Raw genomic sequence first — 25684 nt, 5'->3', positions numbered from 1 at the left:
CTGCAAATCTTTTTTCTGTTTGTTTGCCTTTGTATTTTGTTTTTGGAGGGTTTCTATGTATAGGAATTAAATTTTATGTTGTTAAATCTTTTGATTTCTGCTTTTGCATATGTACTTCAAAAGACTTTCTATTTTAAGATCAAGTGTTACCTGTATTTTCTTTTAGTTCTATTTAAAACCTCTTAATTTATATGCCTGTGCTGTTAACTCCCAAGTTGATTCACAAGTGTGTATACATAGTTTGAATTTAGTGGCAATTTAATTATTTACAACTTCTTTTGCAGCAAGGATTTGTGGAGAAGATGGACAGGTGGATCCCAACTGTTTCGTTTTGGCACAGTCCATAGTCTTTAGTGCAATGGAGCAAGAGTAAGTTAGTTCATATTTTCACATTGTGCATCCTAGGGAATTTGGGTTCATTGTTAGGAATGGGCTTCACTCAGCTAAAAACAAAGTATTTTTGAGAATTTAAATATTTTGGATATTTACAAGATCATATAAAGCATACTCTATCTTGGTTAACAGTTTCTTTTAAATATAAATTATGTGAACTCTTAAAATTTTCATTTTCATTTTCAATGTTAATATTTCCTAAGTTAAAATAATTTGTTTTTAGTTCTGAAATAATTTGGGGAGTGATTGAGTCTGTAGTGATTATGACTATTAGAATTGGTTTATTTATTTAAATAATGCATGTCTTCAGATGGCTCTCCTAATTTGTTAGTTAGGCTTTAAGCTAAATGGATGCTATATAACTAAATCCACATAGATTTGTTGAAATGGCTCCAGAGGTTTTTTAGATTTATTACTGCTATGTGCCCTTAAAAAAAATCTATTCATTCTTTCACTTAACATTTATCAGAAGAGTGCTCTGTGTAAGACGTGGTTAGGCATAGTGCCAGTCTTGAAGGAAGTTACAGCCTAATAAAAGACATAGGGCATGTTGTTTGGTTACTGTAATATGAAGTGGCATGTGTTAAATGTCAGGGGAGAACTACAAAGTCATAAAAAGGTGGGAGAGATTACATACAGGTAAAGGAATCAGGAATGACACCATGGGGAGTAAGGTAGTGTTGACCTAGGCCTTTAAGATACAATAGGGACAGTATGGAAAGAGTATATTTTTCCCACTTAAACTCTTTCCTTGGTCGTTCCCTCAAATTTTCCCTTTTGTCCATGTGCAGGCACTTTAGTGAGTTTCTGCGAAGTCACCATTTCTGTAAATACCAGATTGAAGTGCTGACCAGTGGAACTGTTTACCTGGCTGACATTCTCTTCTGTGAGTCAGCCCTCTTTTATTTCTCTGAGGTAAAGTCTGCATTTCTTTTCACACTCTATTCGAGCATTCCAGCCTCTAACTATCAATGCTGGGGCCCTGTCTATAGGAAATAACACAGAAGAGCCAAGTCATTTCCAAAAAGATGTATCATTGTTTCAAGTTGTTTCTGATGGCAAGAGTAATTTAATAATATATTAGAGAGAACATGAAAATTCAATGTATTAAATAACTCTAATTTTGAGAAACCTAATTAAACTACTGCATGTAAGAGAGTGCATGTTTTTAATTATTTGGAGCTATTTTAAAACCACAGAATTTGAAACTTGCTTCCAGTGCATAAATTGCAGACCAGACTTCAGAAGAGAAAAAAAGTAGTAAATTTTTTCTTATGCTCATCATTTTTACTTTAGTCACTTGATAGGATTGCCCAGTGAAGAAGCATTTGCAACAGACAATGAGTATATTAATCTTTTTGAGGCATACAGTTTAGTATAATGCTCTTTGTTAGGCTTCAACAAGTGAAATTATTTTGTTGGAAAGCAAATGACTATTAAGTAGAAAGAGGATTCCCAGTCTCACAAAGCAGTAATTTAGACACTCGATTCTGCCTCTTTACAAGAATACAGGTACTCAGTTGATTTGTTTTCTCACTCCCTTTCTTTGCTATAAGTTTAAATCAACAATTTGTTTAGGTTAATATGTCCTCATGGAATGGTGGAAATGATCAGATATAAAATATTTGGTTTGGTTAGTTTACTCTTTATATGTTTGCTGGCAAGGAACCACAAATCCAGTTTAGTATAATTTTTACTCTAGTTCACTAAAAGTTTGCATCCAGCTGTGTAGGTAGTGTTTGTTTCTTGTTAACTTTTTTTTCGTCTAAAAGAATACTTTAAAACTTTTCAATCTCAAATGACTGTAACTTGCTGACAGGTGTTAACAGAAGAAGTAGATCTTTTTGTTTTTTGCTTATGACCTGTATTTTAATATTTGAGCTTATAGATTAGAGATTGTGAGAGAAATCTGTTTATAGTCTTATTTTCCCTTGTGTATTTTTTCTTCCTAGTACATGGAAAAAGAGGATGCAGTGAATATCTTACAATTCTGGTTGGCAGCAGATAACTTCCAGTCTCAGCTTGCTGCCAAAAAGGGCCAATATGATGGACAGGAGGCACAGAATGATGCCATGATTTTATATGACAAGTGAGTTATATTGATAGATGGATTCAGCAGATACTTATTGAACATTTGATATGTTTTGTGGAAATAAAGATGAATAAACTCAGTCTCTGTTGTCAAGGAGCTCACAGGAGGCAGCATAAAAGCTGCTTTTATATGGTGTTTGTAAAGCTTTGGGGGTTCTTAGAACAAAAGTTTCTGCTGGGAAAGGGGAGGTGTATGTGGGGTAAACAGGATGGCAATGGTGGTGTTCAAGGAGTGTTTCCCAGAAGAGAGATTTTGTTTGGATCCCAAAGAAAGAAGGGAATTTTGCTACCCAGAGAAGGCAGAAAACAACATTCTAGGCAAAGGCATTGGCCCAGAAGCCATGGAAACGTAGGGGAAAGTGGCACTTTCAAGAAACTTGAGTTTAGATAATCAAAGGAGTGGGGAATAAATATGAGGATGCTGGTACTAATTGGAATAGATTGTAAGGGACCTTGAATGCCTATTTATGGGTATATTATACTTTCTGTATAAATCTGCTCAGGCACGTTGTTAATTAGTTTTTTATTAGTTTTCACTGAAAATGAGAGGATGGAAACATCATACAGTAAACAAAATTGAAAATATCTGGTCAGGCAGATGATGAGCTTGTGGCCAGCTCTGTAACGTATGGTATTCTTTTCATTTAACTTTTCTTACTCTGTAAAAAAAGTAATTCGTGGTCGGGCACGGTGGCTCACTCCTGTAATCACAACACTTTGAGAGGCAGAGGCAGGTGAATCGCTTGAGCCCAGGAATTTGAGACCAGCCTGGGCAACATGGCAAAACCCGCCTTTACTAAAAATACAAAAATTAGCTGAGCGTGATGGCGTGCGCCTGTTGTCCTAGCTACTTAGGGGCCTGAGGCAGAAGGATCACCTGAGCCTTGGGAGGTCGAGGCTGCAGTGAGCTGTGATCCACTGTACTCCACCCTGGGCAGGGCAGTAGAGTGAGACCCTGTCTCCAAAAAAAAAAAAAACAACAAAGGTAATTTGTTATTTGTATCCTTAAGCAAATGCTAAAGGGGTAACTTGGGGATAGAGAAAAGTCCACAGATGTTAGGGTTTGAAGACACTAATAGTATCTAGGCCAGTGGTTCCTGAACATTAGTCTGTGGGCTCTTGCTGGGCTGTCTGCATAGGAATCACCTGAGAGCTTATTAAAAATAGGTTTTCAGGCTGGTTGCGGTGGCTCACGCCTATAATCCCAGCACTTTGGGAGGCTGAGGCAGGCGGATTACTTGAGGTCAGGCGTTCAAGACCAGCCTGGCCAACATGGTAAAACCCCGTCTCTACTAAAAATACAAGAATTAGCCAGGCATGATGGCACACACCTGTAATCCCAGCTACTCAGGAGGCTGAGGAAGGAGAATTGCTCGAGCCCGGGAGGTGGAGGTTGCAGTGAGCGGAGATCATGCCACTGCACTCCAGGCTGGCTGACAGAGGGAGACTCTGTCTCAGAAAAAAAAAAAAAAATAGGTTTTCAGTCTGGGTACCGGTGGCTCACACCTGTAATCCCAGCACTTTGGGAGGCCAAGGCAGGCAGATCACTTGAGGTCAGGAGTTTGAGAACTGCCTGGCCAACATAGTGAAACCTTGTCTCTACTAGAAACTACAAAAAATTAACTGGGCATTTTGACGGGTGCCTATAATCCCAGCTACTAGGGAGGCTGAGGCAGGAGAATTGCTTGAACCCGGGAGGCAGAGGACTGCATCTCAAAAAAAAAAAAAAAAAAAAGGTTTCCAGTCCCCCTGTCTCAGAAATTCTGATTCTGCAGGTTTGAGGTGTGACCAGGAATCTTTATTTTTAGAAGACATACCAGATAATTCTGATAAATAGCCAGTTTAGGGATGTAGTCTAATTTTCCTATTTTGCAAGTAAGGAAAATAAGGCCCAGAGAGGTAATGATTTTCTCAAAGTCACAGAACAAGTTAGTGGCAGAATTTGGACTGGAATGCAGTTCTTAATGTTCTGTCCAGTGTTTATTCTGGTACAGTATGTTTGTAGAAGGTATTACGTAAGAAACATTGTTATATAGATGTTGAGATAGGAAGAGTTTACATTTAGAAATTTGGTCTAAAATGCCTGAACATTCAAGTCGTGGAGGAGTATTGACCAACTTACTCAATACAACATAGGAGATTCACATTTTGTTACAAAAATGCTGATTTAAAAGGAGAGTTTTCTTTTTTTTCTTCTTTTTTATTTTTTGAGATGGAGTCTTGCTCTGTCACCCAGGCTAGAGTGCAGTGACACGATCTCAGCTCACTGCAACCTCCACCTCCTGGGTTCAAGCGGTTCTCCTGCCTCAGCCTCCTGAGTAGCTGGGATTACAGGTGGGGGCCACCACGCCCAGCTAATTTTTGTATTTTTAGTAGAGACAGGGTTTCACCATGTTGGCCAGGCCGGTCTTGAACTCCTGACCTCAAGTGATCCACCCACCACTGCCTCCCAAAGTGCTGGGATTATAGGCGTGAGCCACTGTGCCCAGCCTGCTTGTTTTTGTATCATATATATGCATCATCATAATCATGCATTATCAACCTTTGTATTTCTGTCAGGACATAGAAACCATTAGAGTGCTTGGAAGAGAGCCTTTTTTTTTTTCTCGCATTTAATGCTTTTTTTGGTATTCATTTCATAATCAGCTTACCAAAACATTACCTGCATTATACCCCATCAAGGTAGAAATCTTTGTGTTATCAATATTGGTTACTCCCTTTCCACACCGAGTCATCAGTAAGTCCTGTTCTATCCAAATAGGTCATATGCATCTAGCTCACCCCTCAGTGCTGTTTTGTTTTGAATTTGTACATGTTTACTCCTGATGCCTTGTAGTTATGATGATGTGTTCTTATTTTATTCTGTGCATACAAGTTCTCAGCTCGCTTTTTAGGGAAAATGACCATGTCTTCCTTTCCTATAAATTCCTTTCTATCTATCAAGTCCTCAACAGAGAATAGGTACCCATAAATATGTGATTGTTAGTTTCTTTGCCTCAGTTGTAGTCTGATCCTTACAGCTTTTAAACAACAGTAGAGTTCACCGTCAAGAACTAAGGATGGTTGGCAGGCAGATAGAAAGGTAGCAAGTTGACCCAACTATCTCTGGGGAAGTGGGAACAAAGAAAGGTTACATCAGCACTGTCATCACATAGCTCTATAGTTCTAGGCCTGCAGGCTCAATCAAGTAGCCTTGTATAAGATTCTCTGGAGGAGGTGCTGAAAGTTGCTTATACTTGCTATGGAATTTGATTTTACTTCGGATATCTTTTTACCATAGGTACTTCTCCCTCCAAGCCACACATCCTCTTGGATTTGATGATGTTGTACGATTAGAAATTGAATCCAATATCTGCAGGGAAGGTGGGCCACTCCCCAACTGTTTCACAACTCCATTACGTCAGGCCTGGACAACCATGGAGAAGGTAACCCAGAACTTCAAACGTATCAAACTACAAGAAGTTTTATTGGTAGAACTCATAAAATATAAGGTGGGAAAACCAAGCAGAATAGCACAGTGGAAATTGAAGCAGTCCAGCAAAGTGATTAAGAGCAGAGGCCTTGAGTCTGGCCTGGTATGTACAGTCACGTGCCACATAACATTTTAGTCAACAGTGGACTGCGTGTACGATGGTCCTGTACGATTATAATGGATCAAAGCTGGTAGTGCAATAATAACAAAAGTTAGAAAAAATAAATTTTAATAAGTAAAAAAGAAAAAAGAAAAACTAAAAAGATAAAAGAATAACCAAGAACAAAACAAAAAAAATTATAATGGAGCTGAAAAATCTCTGTTGCCTCATATTTACTGTACTATACTTTTAATCATTATTTTAGAGTGCTCCTTCTACTTACTAAGAAAACAGTTAACTGTAAAACAGCTTCAGACAGGTCCTTCAGGAGGTTTCCAGAAGGAGGCATTGTTATCAAAGGAGATGACGGCTCCATGCGTGTTACTGCCCCTGAAGACCTTCCAGTGGGACAAGATGTGGAGGTGAAAGAAAGTGTTATTGATGATCCTGACCCTGTGTAGGCTTAGGCTAATGTGGGTGTTTGTCTTAGTTTTTAACAAACAAATTTAAAAAGAAAAAAAAAATTAAAAATAGAAAAAAGCTTATAAAATAAGGATATAATGAAAATATTTTTGTACAGCTGTATATGTTTGTGTTTTAAGCTGTTATGACAACAGAGTCAAAAAGCTAAAAAAAGTAAAACAGTTAAAAAGTTACAGTAAGCTAATTTATTATTAAAGAAAAAAATTTTAAATAAATTTAGTGTAGCCTAAGTGTACAGTGTAAGTCTACAGTAGTGTACAATAATGTGCTAGGCCTTCACATTCACTTACCACTCACTCGCTGACTCACCCAGAGCAACTTCCAGTCTTGCAAGCTCCATTCATGGTAAGTGCCCTATACAGATGTACCATTTTTTATCTTTTATACTGTATTTTTACTGTGCCTTTTCTGTATTTGTGTTTAAATACACAAATTCTTACCATTGCAATAGTGGCCTACGATATTCATTATAGTAACATGTGATACAGGTTTGTAGCCCAAAAGCAATAGGTTGTACCATATAGCCAAGGGGTGTAGTAGGCCATACCATCTAGGTTTGTATAAGTACACTCTGTGATGTTAGCACAATGGCAAGCAGCCTAACGGAAATTCTGTTTATTGATTGATTGATTGATTGATTGATTGAGACAGAGTTTCACTCCATTGTCCAGGCTGGAGTGCAGTTGCACAGTCTTGGCACACTGCAACTTCTGCCTCCCAGGTTCAACCAATTATCCTGCCTCATCCTCCCAAGTAGCTGGGATTACAGGCAGGCACCACCATACCTGGCTAATTTTTGTATTTTAGTAGAGACAGGGTTTCACCATTTTGGCCAGGCTGTTCTCGAACTCCTGACCTTAAGTGATCTGCCTGCTTTGGCCTCCGAAAGTGCTGGGATTACAGGCATGAGCTACCATGCCTGGGCAGTAACTGAAATTCTCTAATGCCATTTTCCTTATCTGTAAAGTGACGATAATATGCACGTTTACCTCAAAGTTACTTTGATGATTAAAGTAAGGTAATGTATATAAAATACATATTAACATAGTACCTGACACATGGTAAGCATCAAAAAATGTTAACTACTTTTATTACTATTATTATTACGTATTTTTAAATAATTAGAGAGCAGTATCAAAAATTAGCTGGGCGTAGTGGCATGCACCTATAGTTCCAGCTACTCAGGAGGCTGAAGCTGGAGGATTGCATGAGCCTGGGAATTAAAGGCTGCAGTGAGCCGTGTTCATGCCCCTGCACTCCAGCCTTGGTGACAGAGCAAGACCCTGTCTTGAACAATTAAAGAAGGCATTATGCCGCAACGTTAGCTTAGAAATGATCCACATATATCACCAGTAACTGTCAACAGGATTGGAACCCTAGTTTTGGGTATTATGATCACAAGGTATTATTAATAGCTTATTAATAATAAAGCGTTGGCTAGGCACGGCGACTCACATCTGTAATCCCAGCACTTTGGGAGGCCGAGGTGGGTGGATCACCTGAGGTCAGGAGTTTGAGACCAGCCTGACCAACATGGAGAAACCCCATCTCTACTAAAAATACAAAATTAGCCGGGCGTGGTGGTGCATGCCTGTAATCCCAGCTACTTAGGAGGCTGAGGCAGGAAAATCTCTTGAACCCGGGAGGCAGAGGTTGCAGTGAGCTGAGATCGCACCATTGCACTCCAGCCTGGGCAACAAGAGCAAAACTCCGTCTCAAAAATATAATTATAATAAATAAATAAAAGTAAAGTATTGATGTTTGTGAATGATTTATTCTTCTAATGAACTAGAGGAGATTTTTCCAGGAATTTCAGAGCCAGTGAGGTTATGTTGCTTGTATGTGTCATGTGTATCCAGGTGAAAAAACTTAATTAAACGCTATTATATAATACCATACATAAAAACTGAATTTTAGGAATACTGAAGAATGACATATAGAAGTCAAATCATTAAATAGCTAGTAGTAAACAGAATAGAGTGTCAGCTGTTACCCAATGATGATAATATTTTCACGATTAAAATTAAACCTTTTCTGATTTTAAAGGAAAAGTTCAGATCTGTATCATATAAAGAATGTAAATTTTCAGGGTAATAAAATTAAAATGCAGAGAGAAAAATGCAAAAATAGTTCTTACTAGATGTGTGTATGTAAGGAACTTAGACTAATTTTAAGAACACTGTCAAGACCCTGGTAGTTAGGTAGGAAAAAAGACATGAATGATTCATTCAACAAAAACTTTGAGTATTTCTGTGCTAGATGGTAGTGTTACAGTGGTAAACAAAATAAATGTGTTTCTGCTATCCTGGAGCTTAGTCTACAAAAAAGGTACATATTGGCCGGGCACGGTGGCTCACGCCTGTAATCCTAGCACTTTGGAAGATCGAGGCGGGTGGATCACCTGAGGTCAGGAGTTCAAGACCAGCTTGGCCAACATGGCGAAACCCCGTCTCTACTAAAAATACAAAAATTAACTGGGTGTGGTGGCGGACACCTGTAATCCCAGCTACTCGGGAGGCTGAGGCAGGAGAATCACTTGAACCTGGGAGACAGAGGTTCCAGTGAGTCGAGATCATGCCACTGCATTCCAGCCCGGGGGACAAAAGCGAAAATACGTCTCAAAAAAACAAAAACAAACAACAAAGGCACGTATTAAATACGAACATAAATATTTACAAATTATACTGAATAAGTTCTCATGTTTATTATTTGCTTGTCCAGTTACAAACTTTTCCTTCGTAGAATTAGAAATATAAATAATAAACATGAGAACTCATTCAGTATAATTAATAATTATTAAATGTAAATAAAAACATCTATGTACAATTAGGCATTTATTTAAGAATTATTTGAAAAAAAAACAATGTGGAAACAGATATTTTGATATATTGCTAGTGATTGAAATTGATAATGTTCTTTTGAAGAGTAAAGTGACCATATATATTAAAGTTAAAATTTAACTCAGCAATCACACGCCTGGTGAGTTATCTTAAGGAAATCAGTTTGAAAGTAAAATCAATATATGCACAAAGACTTTAACATTTATCATAAACCAGAAAAATCGAGTTTCAAATTATATCCTATGGACTATTTTCTGCTAAAAAGTATTAATATCAACTTTATGTAATACTTTCGTGACAAATATTTTGGGGGAGAAAACCCAACAAAATTACATGCATTGTAATTTTTTTTTTTTTTTTTTTTTTAGACAGTCTTGCTCCAGCGTCCAGGCTGGAGTGCAGTGGTGCAATCTCGGCTCACTGCAACCTCCATCTCCCAGGTTCAAGCAATTCTCCTGCCTCAGGCCTCCCGAGTAGCTGGGATTACAGGCGCTCACCACCATGCCTAGCTAATTTTTATAGTTTTTAGTAGAGATGGGGTTTCATCATGTTGGCCAGGCTGGTCTTGAACTCCTGGTCTCAAGTGATCCGTCTGCCTCGGCCTCCTAGAGTGCTGAGATTACAGGTGTAAGCCACTGCACCCAGCCTTATGCATTATAATTTTAATTTGTAAACTGTACAAAGGGATAATACTTGTAGTACAACAAGAAGTAAAAACATTTGTTATAGGTAGTTAACATTTGTAACCAGTAGAATTATAGGTAAAATTTATTTATTTAAAACAGTTTTAGTTGGATTTGATTTCAACTTTAAAATAATGCTTTTCATCTCTATCAGGTCTTTTTGCCTGGCTTTTTGTCCAGCAATCTTTATTATAAATATTTGAATGATCTCATCCATTCGGTTCGAGGAGATGAATTTCTGGGCGGGAACGTGTCGCTGACTGCTCCTGGCTCTGTTGGCCCTCCTGATGAGTCTCACCCAGGGAGTTCTGACAGCTCTGCGTCTCAGGTATTGACTGATTGCGTCTGCCATTAGGGAGAAAAGCATACACATCCTTTCCTTCACATCCCAGTAACAGATCCTATTATTTGTAAATTTTAAGTTGTGGAAAAAAAAGATAAAAGCCAGGCACAGTGGCCTGTGCCTGTAATCCCAGCACTTTGGGAGGCTGCGGTGGGCGGATCACACGAGGTCAGGAATTCGAGACCAGCCTGGCCGACATGGTGAAACCCCATCTCTACTAAAAATACAAAAATTAGCCGGGCATGGTGGCAGGCACCTGTAATCCTAGCTACTTGGGAGGCTGAGGCAGGAGAATCGCTTGAACCCAGGAGGCAGAGGTTGCAATGAACCAAAATCACGCCACTGCACTCCAGCCTGGGTGACAAAGTGAGACTGTGTCTCAAAAAAAAAAAAAAAAGAGAGAAATAAAATTAGCCTACTTACTATCTTCTAATCAAAGCATTTGTGGTAACTTAAAATATACTGTATTGTAAAGTATCATGCTGTTTCATTTAGGCCATTATTCTATTTGAATCTGTGGCTGTTTCTCTTAATAAATCAAGTAATATGGAATATATTCATAGCCTCTGAAGAGCTCTTTATGTAAGTATTTATTTAGGATACTTTTTGTAAAATAAGTGAATGAATTCTTAGGTCTCCTTTTTTTTTCTTTTCTTGAGACAGGGTCTCCTCGCTGCAACCTGGAAATTCTGGGCTCAAATAATCCACCCACCACAGCCTCCTGAATAGCTGGGACTAGAGGCATGCACCACCACGCCTGGCTAATTTGAAATTTTTTTTTGGCCAGGCATGATGGTTCACGCCTGTAATCCCAGCACTTTGGGAGACCGAGGCAGGCAGATCACGAGGTCGGGAGATGGAGACCAGCCTGGCCAACGTGGTGAAACCCCGTCTCTACTAAAAATACAAAAATTAGCTGGTTATGGTGGCTCATGCCTGTAATCCCAGCTACTTGGGAGGCTGAGGCAGGAGAATGGCTTCAACCAGGGAGTCGGAGGTTGCAGTGAGCCGAGATCACGCCACTGCACTCCTGCATGGTGACAGAGTGAGACTCCATCTCAAAAAAAATTTTTTTTTTAAATGATGGAGTCTTGCTGTGTTGCTCAGGCTGGTCTTGAACCCCTGACCTCAAATGCCGCCTGCTTCAGCCTAAGTTTCTTTTTTTTTTGTAAAGAGACAGGGTCTTGCTATGTTGGCCAGGGTAGTCTCAAACTCCTGGCTTCAAGCAGTCCTCCCACCTTGGCCTCTCAAAGTGCTGGGATTACAGGCGTGAACCACTACCTATAATGTTGTGTTTCACTCAAGGCCTTTTGATTTCGTTTTGCATTACCGTGCCACATTGTGCATTTCCTTGACCTTTTTTGGGTTTTTTGGAGTGCTTTCATATGTTAAACCATACCTGATTCTCCTCAAAATCACACAAAGTAGAATATCCTAAGACAAGAAATCTAAGGAGGCATAAAGAAGTTAACTGGTTTTATTAAACTCACACAGTAAATGATAGAGCCAGAAATATTCCCCTTCTAGTGTTCTTCACCATCAGCTTAATGTAGCATAATAATTTTCTAATTACTGTTGACAAATAAATAACCCTTTGAATTTTCAATACTGGGCCTTGGATAAATTTTCCTAATTTGTAAGAGAGTATTATCGTATTGCCATTTACAAAGCTCTCCTGAGTATCTTTTTCTTCTGTTAAGTTTACCTAGGAGATAAACTGCTGAGTATGGTTGCCATTTTGGTTTTTTGATATAGGTTAGAATGTCTTGGTTTTTTTTTTTTTTTTTTTTGGTTTTTGTTGTTGTCATTGTTTGAGACAGCATCTTGCTCTGTCGCCCAGGCTGGAGTGCAATGGCACGATCGTGGCTCACTGCAACCTCCACCTCCCGGGTTCAAGCAATTCTCCTGCCTCAGCTTCCTGAGTAGCTGGGATTACAGGCATGTGCAACCACACCTGGCTAATTTTTGTGTTTTTAGTAGAGAAGGGGTTTCACCATGTTGGTCAGGCTGGTATTGAACTGCTGACCTCATGATCCACCTGCCTCGGCCTCCCAAAGTGCTGGGATTGCAGGCATGAGCCACTGCACCTGGCTGAATGTCTTGTTTTTGATTAGGCACTTAAGAAAGGCCTAGGTACTAACCATAAAATATATTTTTATACCTTTTGTTGATACTATATATATAGAAAACTGCACTTATCATAACCTTAGACACCTTGAAGAATGTTCACAAGCAGAACTAACCCATGTGACCCAGCATCCAGATCAAAAACAGCATTATCAGCCCCTCTAGAAGCCCTCTTGGGCCCCTTCCATTCACTGTCCTTCTTGTCACCAGGGTAGCTACTATCCTGACTTTTGATGGCATAGATTAGCATTACCTGTTCTTGTCATTTTATAAATAAAACCATACTGTGTATTCTTTTCTTGTACAGCTTTATTGTGCTAATTCACATTTACATCATACAATTCAGTGGTTTTTATATGGTCACAGAGTTAGGTAACCATTACCACATCGATTTTAGAACATTTTTTTCACTCCAGATAGAAACCCCCTTTACTTAAACTCCAAATCCCCCACTCCACCAGCCCTAGGCAGCCACTAGTCTACTTTTTATCTCTATAGAGACAATAGATTTGCTTATTCTGGACATTTCATAAACATGGAACCGTATATTATGTGGTCTTTTGTTGCCAACTGTCTTTCACTTAGCATCATGTGTTCAAAAGAGCATCATGTTATCCATGTTTGGCATGTATCAGAATTTTATTCCTCATTATGGCCAAATATCCCATTGCAAGGATTTATGACATTTTATTTGAATTGTACCCTCCTTTCTGCCATTTATCAATAATGCTACTGTGACCATTTGTGTACAAGTTTTTGTGTGGATACAGGTTTTCTTTTTGTTTTTAAATTTGAGGTGGAGTCTTGCTCTGTCGCCCAGGCTGGAGTGCAGTGGCACAATCTCGGCTCACTGCAACCTCTGTCTCCTGGGTTCAAGCAGTTCTCCTGCCTCAGCCTCCCGAGTATCTGGGACTATAGGCACGCACCACCACGCCCAGCTAATTTTTTAGTAGAGATGGGGTTTCACCATGTTGGCCAGTCTGGTCTCGAACTCTTGACCTCAAGTGATCCACCCATCTCGGCCTCCCAAAGTGCTGGGATTACAGGGGTGAGCCACTATGCCCGGCTGTGGTTTTCATTTCTTTTGTTGTATATACATAGGAGTAGAATTGCTGAGTCAAGAGGTAACTCTTAAACTTATTGAAAAACTGCCAGATTGTTTTCCGAAAAGGCTGCACCATTTTGCAATCCCACCAGCAGTGTATGAGTTTTACAGCTTCTCCACATTTCATTGGAACTTATTATCTGTTTGGCTGTTTTTAAAAATGATAGTCATTCCAATAAGTTCTACTTCAGTGTGGTTTTTGCACTTCTCTGATGAGTAATGATGTTGAGCATCTTTTCATTTGCTTATTGGCCTTTGTTCTAGCTTTGGAAAAATGTTTATTCAAATCCTTTGGCCATTTTTATTTTTATTTTTATTTATTTATTTTTTTTTGAGACCAAGTCTCACTCTGTCAGCCAGGCTGGAGTACAATGGTGTGGTCTCAGCTCACTGCAACCTCCGCCTCCTGTGTTCAAGTGATTCTCCTGCCTCAGCCTCCCGAGTAGCTGGGATTACATTTCAGGCACCTGCCAGCATGCCGGGCTGATTTTTGTATTTTTACTAGTGACAGGGTTTCACCATGTTAGCCAGGCTGGTCACAAACTCCTGACCTCAGGTGATCTGCCTGCCTAGGCTTCCCAAAGTGCTGGGATTACAGGCGTGAGCCATTGGGCCCAGCCTAGATTTTCTTTTTTCTTTTTTTTTTTGAGAAGGAGTCTTGCTCTTGTTGCCCAGGCTGGAGTGCAATGGCACAATCTTGGCTCACTGCAACCTCTGCCTCCTGGGTTCAAGCGATTTTCCTGCCTCAGCCTCCCCAGTAGCTGGGATTACAGGTGCCTACCACCACACCCAGCTAACTTTTGTATTTTTTTTAGAGACAGGGTTTCACCATGTTGGCCAGGCTGGTCTCAACTCCTGACCTCAGGTGATCCACCTGCCTTGGCCTCCCGAAGTGCTGGGATTACCGGCATGAGCTACCAGGCCCAGCCAATTTTCTCATTATATTGCCCAGGCTGGTCTCAAACTCCTGGGTTCAAGTGATCCTCCTGCCTTGGCCTCCCAAAGTGTGGGGAGTACAGGCGTGAGCCACCTTGCTCAGCCCCTTTGCCCATTTTTAAATTAGATTGCCTTTTTATATTGAGTTTCAGGAGTCCTTTATATATTCTAGATAAATGTCCCTTATCAAATTATATTATTTCCAGGTATTTTCTTCATTCTGTGAGTTGTCTTTCCTCTACCTTTTAAAAAAGGTGGGTTTTTGTTTGTTTGTTTGTTTGTTTTTTTAAGATAAGGTCTCATTCTGCTGCCCAGGCTGGAGTGCAGTGGCACAATCACAGCTCACTGCCACCTCAACTTCCTGGGCCGAAGTGATCCTCTTACTTCAGCCTCCTGAATAGCTAGGGCCATAGATACACACTATCACACCCAGCTTTTTTTTTCTGTTTGTAGAGACAGATCTTACTGTGTTGCCCAAGTTGGTCTCAAACTCTAGGCTCAAAGTGATTCTCCCACCTCTGCCTCCCAGAGTGCTGGGATTACAGGTGTGAGCCACACGCAACCTGTCTTTTCACTATTAATAGTGTCTTCCTGCTTCAGCCTCCCGAGTAGCTGGGATTACAGGCACCCACCACCATGCCTGGCTAATTTTTTTGCATTTTTAGTAGAGACAGTGTTTCACCATGTTCACCCGGCTGGTCTTGAACTCCTGACCTCAGGTGATTCACCTGCCATGGCCTCCCAAAGTGCTGGGATTACAGGCGTGAGCCACTGCACCCGGCCAAAATATTGCCTTCTTAACAGTATTGTCTTCTAATTTGTGAACATGGATGTATCTTCATGTATTTATGTGTTCTTTCATTTCAGCAGAATTTTGTAGTTTTCAGAGTAGAAGCCTTTCACCTCCTTGGGTCATTTATTCCTATGTTTTAAGTTCTTTTCGATTCCATTATAAATAGAATTGTTTTCTTAATTTCATTTTCAGATTGTTTGATGAGAGAGCATAGAAATACAAGTGATTTTTACATGTTGATCTTGCAACTTCAACTTTGATAAATCTGATTGTTAGCTCTAATAGTTTTCTTGTGGATTCTTTAGGATTTTCAATATATAAGATCATGTCATTTATGGATAGAGATAGTTTTTTTTCTGGCTAGAACTTACAGAGCAATGATGAGTAGAAGTGGCAGAAGCAAAAATCTTTGTCTTGTTTCCTATCTGACAGGGAAAGCTTTCAGTTTCATCATTTAATATGATGTTAGGTGTGGGTTTTCAATAAATGCCTTTTTTCAGATTCAGGAATTTCCCTATCATTCCTGATTTTTTAAGGCTTTTTTTTTTTTTTAAATCATGAAAGGGTGTTGAATATTGTCATGTTCTTTCTGTATCAGTATAAATGATCCTATGGATTTTGGGTTTTATTCTGTTGATGTGAAATATTAATTGATTTTCAGATGTTAAACCAACCTTGCATACCTGAGATGAATCTCACTTGGTCATGGTGTATAATCTTTTCAATATGCTGCTGGATTCCATTTACTGGTATTTTGTTGAAGATTTTGTATCTGAACGCTTAAGATAACATTTACACTCTATCAGAAATGAATTGACCATAAATGTGAGAGTGTATTTGTGGGTTCTTGATTCTCTTCCATTCCAAAGATAGACATACATCCGTCTGTATGTCTGTCTTTATGCCAGTACCATACTCTCTTGATTACTATTGCTTTGTAATAAGTTTTGAAATCAGAAAGTATAAATGAGATTTTGGTATCTGAGTAACAGTCCTCATAGAATTAGTTGGGAAATATTCCCTCTTTATTCTGGTCCCTCTTTCTTTTTTGTTTAACTGTGTATCTTGGAGATTGTTCCTTCTCAACACATGAGAGCCGCTTTCCCTACCCTCCCACCCCTGCTATAGAGAGGTCTATAAGTGTCTGTTCAATTATTTTATTTACTTAACCTATTACTTAGTCGGGGACATTAAGCTTGTTTATGTCTTTTATTTTAAACAATGCTGCAGTGAATAATCTTGTATATAAGTCATTTTCCATCAATATAAGTCTCTCTGTAACTGAATTTTTAGAAGTGGAATTTCTAGGTCAACCTATGGCTCTGTATTTCACAAAAATACCAATTCTGGTTTTTCTTGTGGAGGTGGGGAGTAGGAGGTAGAATGCTGGAGGAGAACTTGCTGTACTCAGCTGGCTAGTCATTTTAGAAAGGTTTCCTTAGCTTCTTTTTGTCATATGGCCTCACCAAGAATCAAAAACATTCCTATTTACCCTGTAAACATGGGGCTTTACTACCCAAGATACATATTTCTGGATGTATGACAGCTTTTCATATTGAAGAAATAATGCTGTGAGTACAGCACATTTGTTGGAACTTAGGTCGTTAAGAATGTCTTATAAATTCATACATTATACATTTTATTTTATTTTATTTTTTAGTTTTTGATACAGAGTCTTCCTCTGTCGCCCAGGCCAGCGTGCAGTGGTACAATCTTGGCTCACTGCGACCTCCATCTCCTGGGCTCAAGTGATTCTCATGTCTCAGCCTCCAGAGTAGCTATGGTTACAGGCATGCACCACCATGCCCGGCTAATTTTTTTATTTTTAGTAGAAACTGGGTTTCACCATATTGACCATGCTGGCCTCGAACTCTTGGCCTCAAGTGATCGGCCTGCCTCAGCCTCCCAAAGTGCTGGGATCCTTGTATTGGGTAAAAGATGAATATTGAGGGCTGCATGGTGGCTCATACCTGTAATCCCAGCACTTTCTGAGACTGAGGTGGGAGGAGTCCTGGAGCCCAGGAGGGTGAGGCTGCAGTGAGTTGTGATCGCGCCATTGCACTTCAACCTAGGAATTATAGGCTTCAGTCACTGTGCCCGGCATGTACATTTTAATATTGTGCTTTCCTCTTTTAGCTATAGTATGAGGTTACATTTCAGAGTCATTGTTGTTAAGCATCTTAATAGTGATGAGGTTGAGTGAAAGTTACTTCTATTTCAAACACTGAAGAAAATTTTGTACAAATCTGTCACATTCCAAGCCCAGGACTGATTGTTTCATATACTTCTAATTTTACAATTTCTATTGTAGTCCAGTGTGAAAAAAGCCAGTATTAAAATACTGAAAAATTTTGATGAAGCGATAATTGTGGATGCGGCAAGTCTGGATCCAGAATCTTTATATCAACGGACATATGCCGGGTAAGCTTAGCTCATGCCTAGAATTTTTACAAGTGTAAATAACTTTGCATCTTTTAAATTTTTTAATTAAATTTTACATTTTTTTCTAATCTATTATTATATGCCCAGAACTTTCACTTAGAGTGTGCAGTATAATGTGGTGGTTAAGTATAAAGGCTCTGGAGTGACTTCCTGGGTTTTAATCTTGGCTCTGCCATTTATTGGCAGCCGCTAACCTCTTGGTATCTCAGTTTCTTCATCTGTAAAATGAGAATAATAAAGTGAAAAGATGCCAACATCATTTACTCTGGGCTGCATAACTGATACTTGGAAAAAGTATTCCTTTGAGTTTAAGAATTAAGTTGGTTATTCATTTTAGCTTGTAATAAAAAGATAGTGATTCATAGGATATGCCACTTACTGAAATTTACCACAGATCCAATCATAAAATCACTTTCTCTTCCCTAAAGATAGCTTGATTAACATGTAAAGGTGTGTAAAGGCTTGATTACACTACCCTGATCCGTACCCCAGTTCCCAGCAGCACCATGAAAAAGGGATTTCAACATATTTAATTACTTTCAGTAGAAAGTAACAGTGGTAGGCCAGGCGCAGTGGCTCACACCTGTAATCCCAGCACTTTGGGAGGCCGAGGTGGGCGGATCACGAGGTCAGGAGATTGAGACCATCCTGGCTAACACGATGAAACCCCGTCTCTACTAAAAATACAAAAAATTAGCCGGGCATGGTGGCAGGCACCTGTAGTCCCAGCTACTTGGGAGGCTGAGACAGGAGAATGGCGTGAGCCCGGGAGGCGGAGCTTGCAGTGAGCTTAGATTGTGCCACTGCACTCCAGCCTGCGCAGTGGAGCGAGACTCTTGTCTCAAAAAAAAAGAAAGTAACAGTGGTATTGGGAGACTGAGGAGCCTAGAAAGTACTTGAAGGAAGTAAAAGGTTTGTTTGACCACATTGTATTTGGAAAGCCAGCTTTTTCAGCTGTGTCAGCTTTGTGTAGTGATTTTTAGTTCTTCTTTTAGAAAATAACGGACAAGGCCGGGCACGGTGGCTCACGCCTGTAATCCCACCACTTTGGGAGGCCGAGACGGGCGGATTACCTGATCTCAGGAGTTCGAGACCAGCCTGGGCAACATGGTGAAACCCCGTCTCTACTAAAATACAAAAAGTTAGCCGGGCGTGGTGGCGTGTGCCTGTAGTCCCAGCTACTCCGGAGGCTGAGGCAGGAGAATTGCTTGAACCCGGGAGGCGGAGGTTGCAGTGAGCCAAGATCACACCATTGCACTGCAGCCTGCGCGACAGAGTAAGACTCTGTCTCAAAAAATAATAATAAAATAAAAAAGAATGGACAGTAAACCTAAATGAGTTCATTCCCAAAGATGATGTTATTCTTAAGGGATGGTTCATTTATTTAAGACCTTACATAAAGTCTATCAATTGCGTGATTTTTCACTTCTGTAATTGTGTGTATGTATAATGTAAATATATATGTTTTTGTTTTGTTTTGGTTTTTTGAGACGGAGTCTCGCTCTGTTGCTCAGGCTGGAATGCAGTGGTGCAATCTCAGCTCTCTGCAACCTCTGTCTCCCAGGTTCAAGCGTTTCTTCTGCCTCATCCTCCCAAGTAGCTGGGACTACAGGCACGTGCCACCACGCCCGGCTAATTTTTTGTATTTTTAGTAGAGATGGGGTTTCACCGTGTTAGCCAGGATGGTCTCAATCTCCTGACCTCGTGATCCACCCGCCTTGGCTTCCCAAAGTGTTGCTATTACAGGCATGAGCCACCACACCCAGCATGTATTTTTTAAATGTATAAAATGAAGCAGAAAAGAGAAATGATAATTTTTCTTCATCTTGAAAGATTATCTTCACCAGGCGCAGTGGCTCACACTTGTAATCCCAGCACTTTGGGAGGCCTCGGCAGGCGGCTCACTTGAGTTCGAAACCAGCCTGGCCGACATGGTGAAACTCCGTCTCTACTAAAAATAAATAAATAAAGATGGTTTTAATATATGTTTTAGTTTTATGATTTTAGCATCTTTCTGAAATTTTTCTCAAGGCAAGTAAATTTGTATCAGTTGGTATATTGGTACCCATCTATGAAATAACTTATTAGGAAGATATCTCTAAAATAAGATCACTTTGCCTAAAATAAACTGATATATTGATGTTCACAGAATTTTTCTTTTAACCGACTTGATAAATGCATTATTCTTGACGTCAAGTGATCCACCTTCCTCAGCCTCCCAAAGTGCTGGGATTACACACATGAGCCACCGCACCTGGCATTATTCTTATAAAAGGTTAAATTTCTAGTTAAGTTTAATGTCCTCTTTGTTCATGTACCATTGCTTATTTTCTTCCCTTCCTACTCACAGTAATCATTCTTATGGTATGCACTTTTGTTTGCTTATTTTTATGTAATTGATATTACGCTCCATTCTGTACGTTGTACTTTCATTCACAGTGAGTTTTGGACATTCCTATGTTCATCTATACAGACTTACTTCATTTTAACTACACTGTAGTATTCCGTATGTAATATTTACTATAACTCATCACTGTAGCAGAGCATCTCATAGTGTATGTATTACTGTTTTGCCATTTTGGTATCAATGAGTATTTAAGTCATTTGCAGTTTTTCCCTCTTATACCCAGTATTACAGAGGATCTCTTTTTATATGCTTCTTTGTACCAAGAGGCAGATTAAAAAATTTTTTTTTGAAAAAATTTTTGAAAAAAAATGAAATGAAGTCTCACTATGTTGCCCAGGCTGGTCTCAAACTCCTAGGCTCAAGCAATCCTTCCATCTTGGCCTCCCAAAGTGCTGGGGTTACAGGCATGAGCCACCATGCCTGGCCTACATTTTAAATTTTGATAGCTCTTACAATTTACTTTGTAAAGTATCTGCATCATTTTATGTTCTCACCAGTCTTTAATAAGAATACTTCATACTTTTGGCTGGACACAGTGGCTCACGCCTGTAATCCCAGCACTTTGGGAGGCCGAGGCGGGCAGATCAAGAGATCGAGACCACCCTGGCCAATATGGTGAAACCCTGTCTCTACTAAAAATACAAAAATTAGCTGGGCGTGGTGGCGCACCCGTAGTCCCAGCTACTCGAGAGGCTGAGACAGGAGAATCACTTGAACCCGGGAGGTGGAGGTTGCAGTGAACTTAGATCACACCACTGCACTCCAGCCTAGCAACAGAGTGAGACTCTGTCTCAAAAAAAAAAAAGAATACTTCAGACTTAATTTTTTTTCCAGTCTTAAGTGTTTGCTAATGAGATTGAGTTTCTTTTGGTATGTCTCTTGATTGTTCAGGTTTTTTCTTTTATGAATTGACTGTTCATCTCTTTTTCACATTATTTCTGTTGGGTGATTTTATTAGTGACTTGTTAAAATTCTGTATATTTTTTCAGCATGACACTTCATTATTCAAAAAAAAAAAAAGATTCTCTATGTTTCTCGATACTAATCATTGGTTGGTAATACCTTAAAAATAAGACCCTTACTGTATTTTTTGCTTTTTTTTTTTTTTTTTTTTTTTTTTTTTTGAGATAGAGTCTTGCTCTGTTGCCCAGGCTGGAGTGCAATGGTATGATCTCGGCTCTCAGCTCACTGCAACTGCAACCTCTACCTCCCTGTTTCAAGCAATTCTCCTGCCTTAGCCTCCCAAGTAGCTGGGATTACAGGCATCCACCACCACACCCAGCTAATTTTTGTATTTTTAGTAGAGACAGGGTTTCACCATGTTGGCCAGGCTGGTCTCAAACTACTGGCCTCAAGTGATCCGCCTGCCTCGGCATCCCAAAGTACTGGGATTACAGGCATGAGCCACAGTGCCTAGCCACTTTTTGCTTTTTAACTTTGTTTTATAGTACTATAGTTTTAGTATAAACAGATGTATGTATACACACAACTATGGCTTTATAATATGTTTCAGTCATTGTTAGAGCAAGGCCTACCTTTTGGGTGCTTCTTTTACAAAATTGTCTTGGCTATTCTTGTGCCTTTTTTCTTATTTGTGAATTTTAGAATTGTGAATTACCTGTTGACTCACCATGTTTTGTAAACTGAGGATTTTGAATGGAATTGCACTCAATTAAAGATTATCTTGCTTTCTGTGCAGCAATGTTTTATTTCAAATAATCCCTACTTTAAATTACTTAGGATAGCTATAAATTGTGTTTCTGGCTTTCTAGATTTAGATGAAACGCTTTAAATTGATTGTTTTCTCCTAAATTTAAAACTGATTGTTAGAAGTTAAAGTCTTCTGTTCATTCTTATTTAGGAAGATGACATTTGGAAGAGTCAGTGACTTGGGGCAATTCATCCGAGAATCTGAGCCTGAACCTGATGTAAGGAAATCAAAAGGTTTGTGGTGTTTTTATACTTCATATTAAGCCTTTACTCACATTAGTGATTGACTGTAAGTCAAAGACCACTTAAGGTTTAAACTGTTTATTTTGTAAAGTAACCACTGTATCTTTCACCTTGTGTTTATAGTCAGAAGTAAGTACAAGGGCTTCCTGTAGTCACATCTTTATGCAATCTCCTCTGAATCAAAAGTTAGTGAACTTGCTTTGCCACTCCAGAAGGCACATGAATATGAAAAAGCATTGTCTATTTTCTTATTTAATGGCAAAATACCCGACCTAAGTTGGACTTAATGTTTGAGACCGTTTATTTTATTAAATTATATTTTTTCTCTTTTCTTTTTTTTTTTTGAGACAGTTCTTGCTCTGTCACCCAGACCGGAGTGCAGTGGTCTGACCGCACCTCACTGCAACCTCTGCTTCCTAGGTTCAAGCGATTTTCCTGCCTCATCCTCCTGAGTAGCTGGGACTACAAGTGCGCACCACCACACCTGGCTAATTTTTGTATTTTTAGCAGAGATGAGGTTTCACCACGTTGGCTAGGCTGGTCTCATACTCCTGACCTCAAGCAATCCATCCGCCTTGGCTTCCCAAAGTGCTGGGATTACAAGTGTGAGCCACCATGCCTGGCCTTATTAAATTATTTTTATTAAATTTCCTCAAGATTGATGAAAGTAATGAAATATAAAAGTAATGAAATATATGTGGAAAATAGACTGGATTAAGAAAATGTGGCACATATACACCATGGATACTATGCAGCCATAAAAAAGGATGAGTTCATGTCCTTTGTAGGGACATGGATGAAGCTGGAAACCATCATTCTGAGCAAACTGTCTCAAGGATAGAAAACCAAACACCGCATGCTCTCACTCATAGGTGGGAATTGAACAATGAGAACACTTGGACACAGGGTGGGGAACATCACACGCTGGGGCCTGTCGTGGGGTGGGGGGCTGGGGGAGGAATAGCATTAGGAGATATACCTAATATAAATGACGAGTTAATGGGTGCAGCACACCAACATGGTACATGTATACATATGTAACAAAGCTGCACGTTGTGCACATGTACCCTAGAACTTAAAGTATAATAAATTTAAAAAAAATAAATATATGTGGAAAATATTAATAGGTCAAAATTCAAATTGTTCATTTAATCAGAAGAGTAGTTTAGTCAAATCCAAGGGTTAGACAACAGAAATCTTTTTTGTCAAGTGCATTCTTTGTGACTGATTTCATTTTCTTCCTGGTTTACACAGGAAGATTTCAGAAACAAATGTGGATCCGTGACAGATGGTATCTAGAAGTTTTTAGTTTGGTTGAATTGACAGTATTTTATTGAGTAAAAGATACTAATTTTTGTAAGAAGAAAAATTCAATTTTGATAAGTATGTTTAAGATTAAGAGCTATTGGCCAGGCGCTGTGGCTCATGCCTGTAATCCTAGCACTTTGGGAAGCTGGAGCAGGTGGGTCACGAGGTCAAGAGATTGAGACCATCCTGGCCAACATGGTGAAACCCTGTCTCTACTAAATTAGCCAGGCGTGGTGGCACATGCCTGTGCACCCGCCTCCGGGTTTAAGCGATCCTACTGCCTCAGGCTCCTGAGTAGCTGGGATTACAGGCGCCATGGCTAATTTTTGCATTTTTAGTAGAGACAGGGTTTCACTACATTGGCCAGGCTGGTCTGGTCTCAAACTCCTGACCTCAGGTGATCTGCCCGCCTTAGCCTCCCAAAGTGCTGGGATTACAGGCATGATTCACCATGTCTGGCCATTTATCTTATTTTCTTTTTTTTTTTTTTTTTTGTTTGAGACGGAGTCTTGCTGTGTCGCCCAGAGCTGGAGTGCAATGGTGCGATCTCAGCTCACTGCAACCTCTGCCTCCTGGGTTCAAGCAATTCTCCTGCCTCAGTCTTCCAAGTAGCTGGGATTACAGGCGCGTGCCACCACATCTAGCTAATTTTTGTATTTTTAGTAGAGACAGGGTTTCACCATGTTGGCCAGGCTGGTCTCGGAACTCCTGACCTCGTAATCTGCCCACCTCGGCCTCCCAAAGTGCTGAGATTACAAGTGTGAGCCACTGTGCCCAGCCATCTTATTTTCTTTCTTTTTTTTTGTCGGGTGGGAGGGGGACAGAGTCTAGCTCTGTCGCCAGGCTTGGCTCACTGCAACCTCTGCCCCCCAGGTTCTAGCAATTATTCTGCCTCAGCCTCCCAAGTAGCTGGGATTATAGGCACCTGCCACCACGCCTGGCTAATTTTTTGTTATTTTTAGTAGAGATGGGGTTTTGCTATGTTGACCATGCTGGCCTCAAGTGATCCGCCCACCTTGGCCTCCCAAAGTACTGGGCTTACAGGCGTGAGCTTGTATTGGGTAAAAGAACAATATTGGGGGCTGCATGGTGGTTCATACCTGTAATCTGAGCACTTTGTGAGACTGAGATGGAAGGAGTGTTGGAGCCCAGGAGGGTGAGGCTGCGGCTGCAGTGAATTGTGATCACGCCATTGCACTTCCACCTAGGTAATGGAGCAAGACCATGTCTCTAAAAAACAAAACACAATTTTTTTAAGGAATACTGGGAAGAGGTCAGTGGTGGTTTTAGAACAGAGGAAGTGCCAGATGACCTTTGTGAGGCATTGGCCAGGAAGAACTCTACAGTGTCTTTAGGTAGCTTCTGTCCATAAGGATAATGGGGTCTCCTCCCCAGTATTAATAGAAAATCTCTGAGCTGTTTTTTTTTGTTTGTTTGTTTTGTTTTTTTTTCCTGAGATGGAGTCTCTCTCTGTCGGCCAGGCTGGAGTGCTGTGGCGCGATCTTGGCTCACTGCAAGCTCTGCCTCCCAGGTTCACACCATTCTCCTGCCTCAGCCTCCCAAGTAGCTGGGACTACAGGTGTCCACCACCACGCCCAGCTAATTTTTTGTTATTTTTAGTAGAGATGGGGTTTCACCATGTCAGCCAGGATGGTCTCGATCTCCTGACCTCGTGATCCGCTCGCCTCTGCCTTGCAAAGTGCTGGAGTTACAGGCGTGAGCCACCGTGCCTGGCCTGGTTTTTTTGTTGTTGTTATTTATTTATTTATTTATTTATTTTTTGAGACAGACTCTCGCTCTGTCGCCCGGGCTGGAGTGTAGTGGCACGATGTCGGCTCACTGCAAGCTCTGCCTGCCAGGTTCAAGCCATTCTCCTGCCTCAGCCTCCTGAGTAGCAGGGACCACAGGCGCTCGCCACCACGCCCGGCTAATTTTTTGTATTTTTAGAAGAGACGGGGTTTCACCGCATTAGCCAGGATGGTCTCGATCTCCTGATGTCGTGATCCGCCCACCTCGGCCTCCCAAAGTGCTGGGATTACAGGTGTGAGCCACCGTGCCTGGCCTGATTTTTTTTTTTTTTTAATCTGGTCTCATACCTCTGACAGCTCATGAAGAAGTGCTCCTGCTTCATATGTATATGTGTTAGCATAGTGTTAACATAGCATAGGTGTTCGGTGTTTGCAGTTTCTGTTTGTTTTATATGAATTA

The 25684-nt window shown here is 40.2% G+C and overlaps 1 protein-coding gene across 5 annotated transcripts in view; it reads left to right on the top strand.

Moving 5' to 3' along the window:
* Positions 1-25684, top strand: part of AKAP10 (A-kinase anchoring protein 10) — a 73527-nt gene that overhangs the window by 35634 nt on the left and 12209 nt on the right. Inside the window, exons 6-12 of one of the 5 annotated variants that reach the window (NM_007202.4) lie at positions 285-369; positions 1185-1308; positions 2346-2482; positions 5765-5909; positions 10217-10390; positions 17678-17787; positions 22077-22159. In NM_007202.4, the coding sequence (NP_009133.2) occupies positions 285-369; positions 1185-1308; positions 2346-2482; positions 5765-5909; positions 10217-10390; positions 17678-17787; positions 22077-22159 (858 nt within the window). Of the gene's footprint in view, positions 1-284; positions 370-1184; positions 1309-2345; positions 2566-5764; positions 5910-10216; positions 10391-17677; positions 17788-22076; positions 22160-25684 lie in introns of those variants that run through there. The other 4 variants (XR_007065258.1, NM_001330152.2, XM_047435219.1 and 1 more) reach the window with 4 other exon arrangements.

The sequence above is a fragment of the Homo sapiens genome, chromosome 17 (assembly GCF_000001405.40).
Source record: "Homo sapiens chromosome 17, GRCh38.p14 Primary Assembly".
NCBI classification, from domain to species: Eukaryota; Metazoa; Chordata; class Mammalia; order Primates; family Hominidae; genus Homo; species Homo sapiens.
This window is presented reverse-complemented; position numbering and strand designations above follow the sequence as displayed.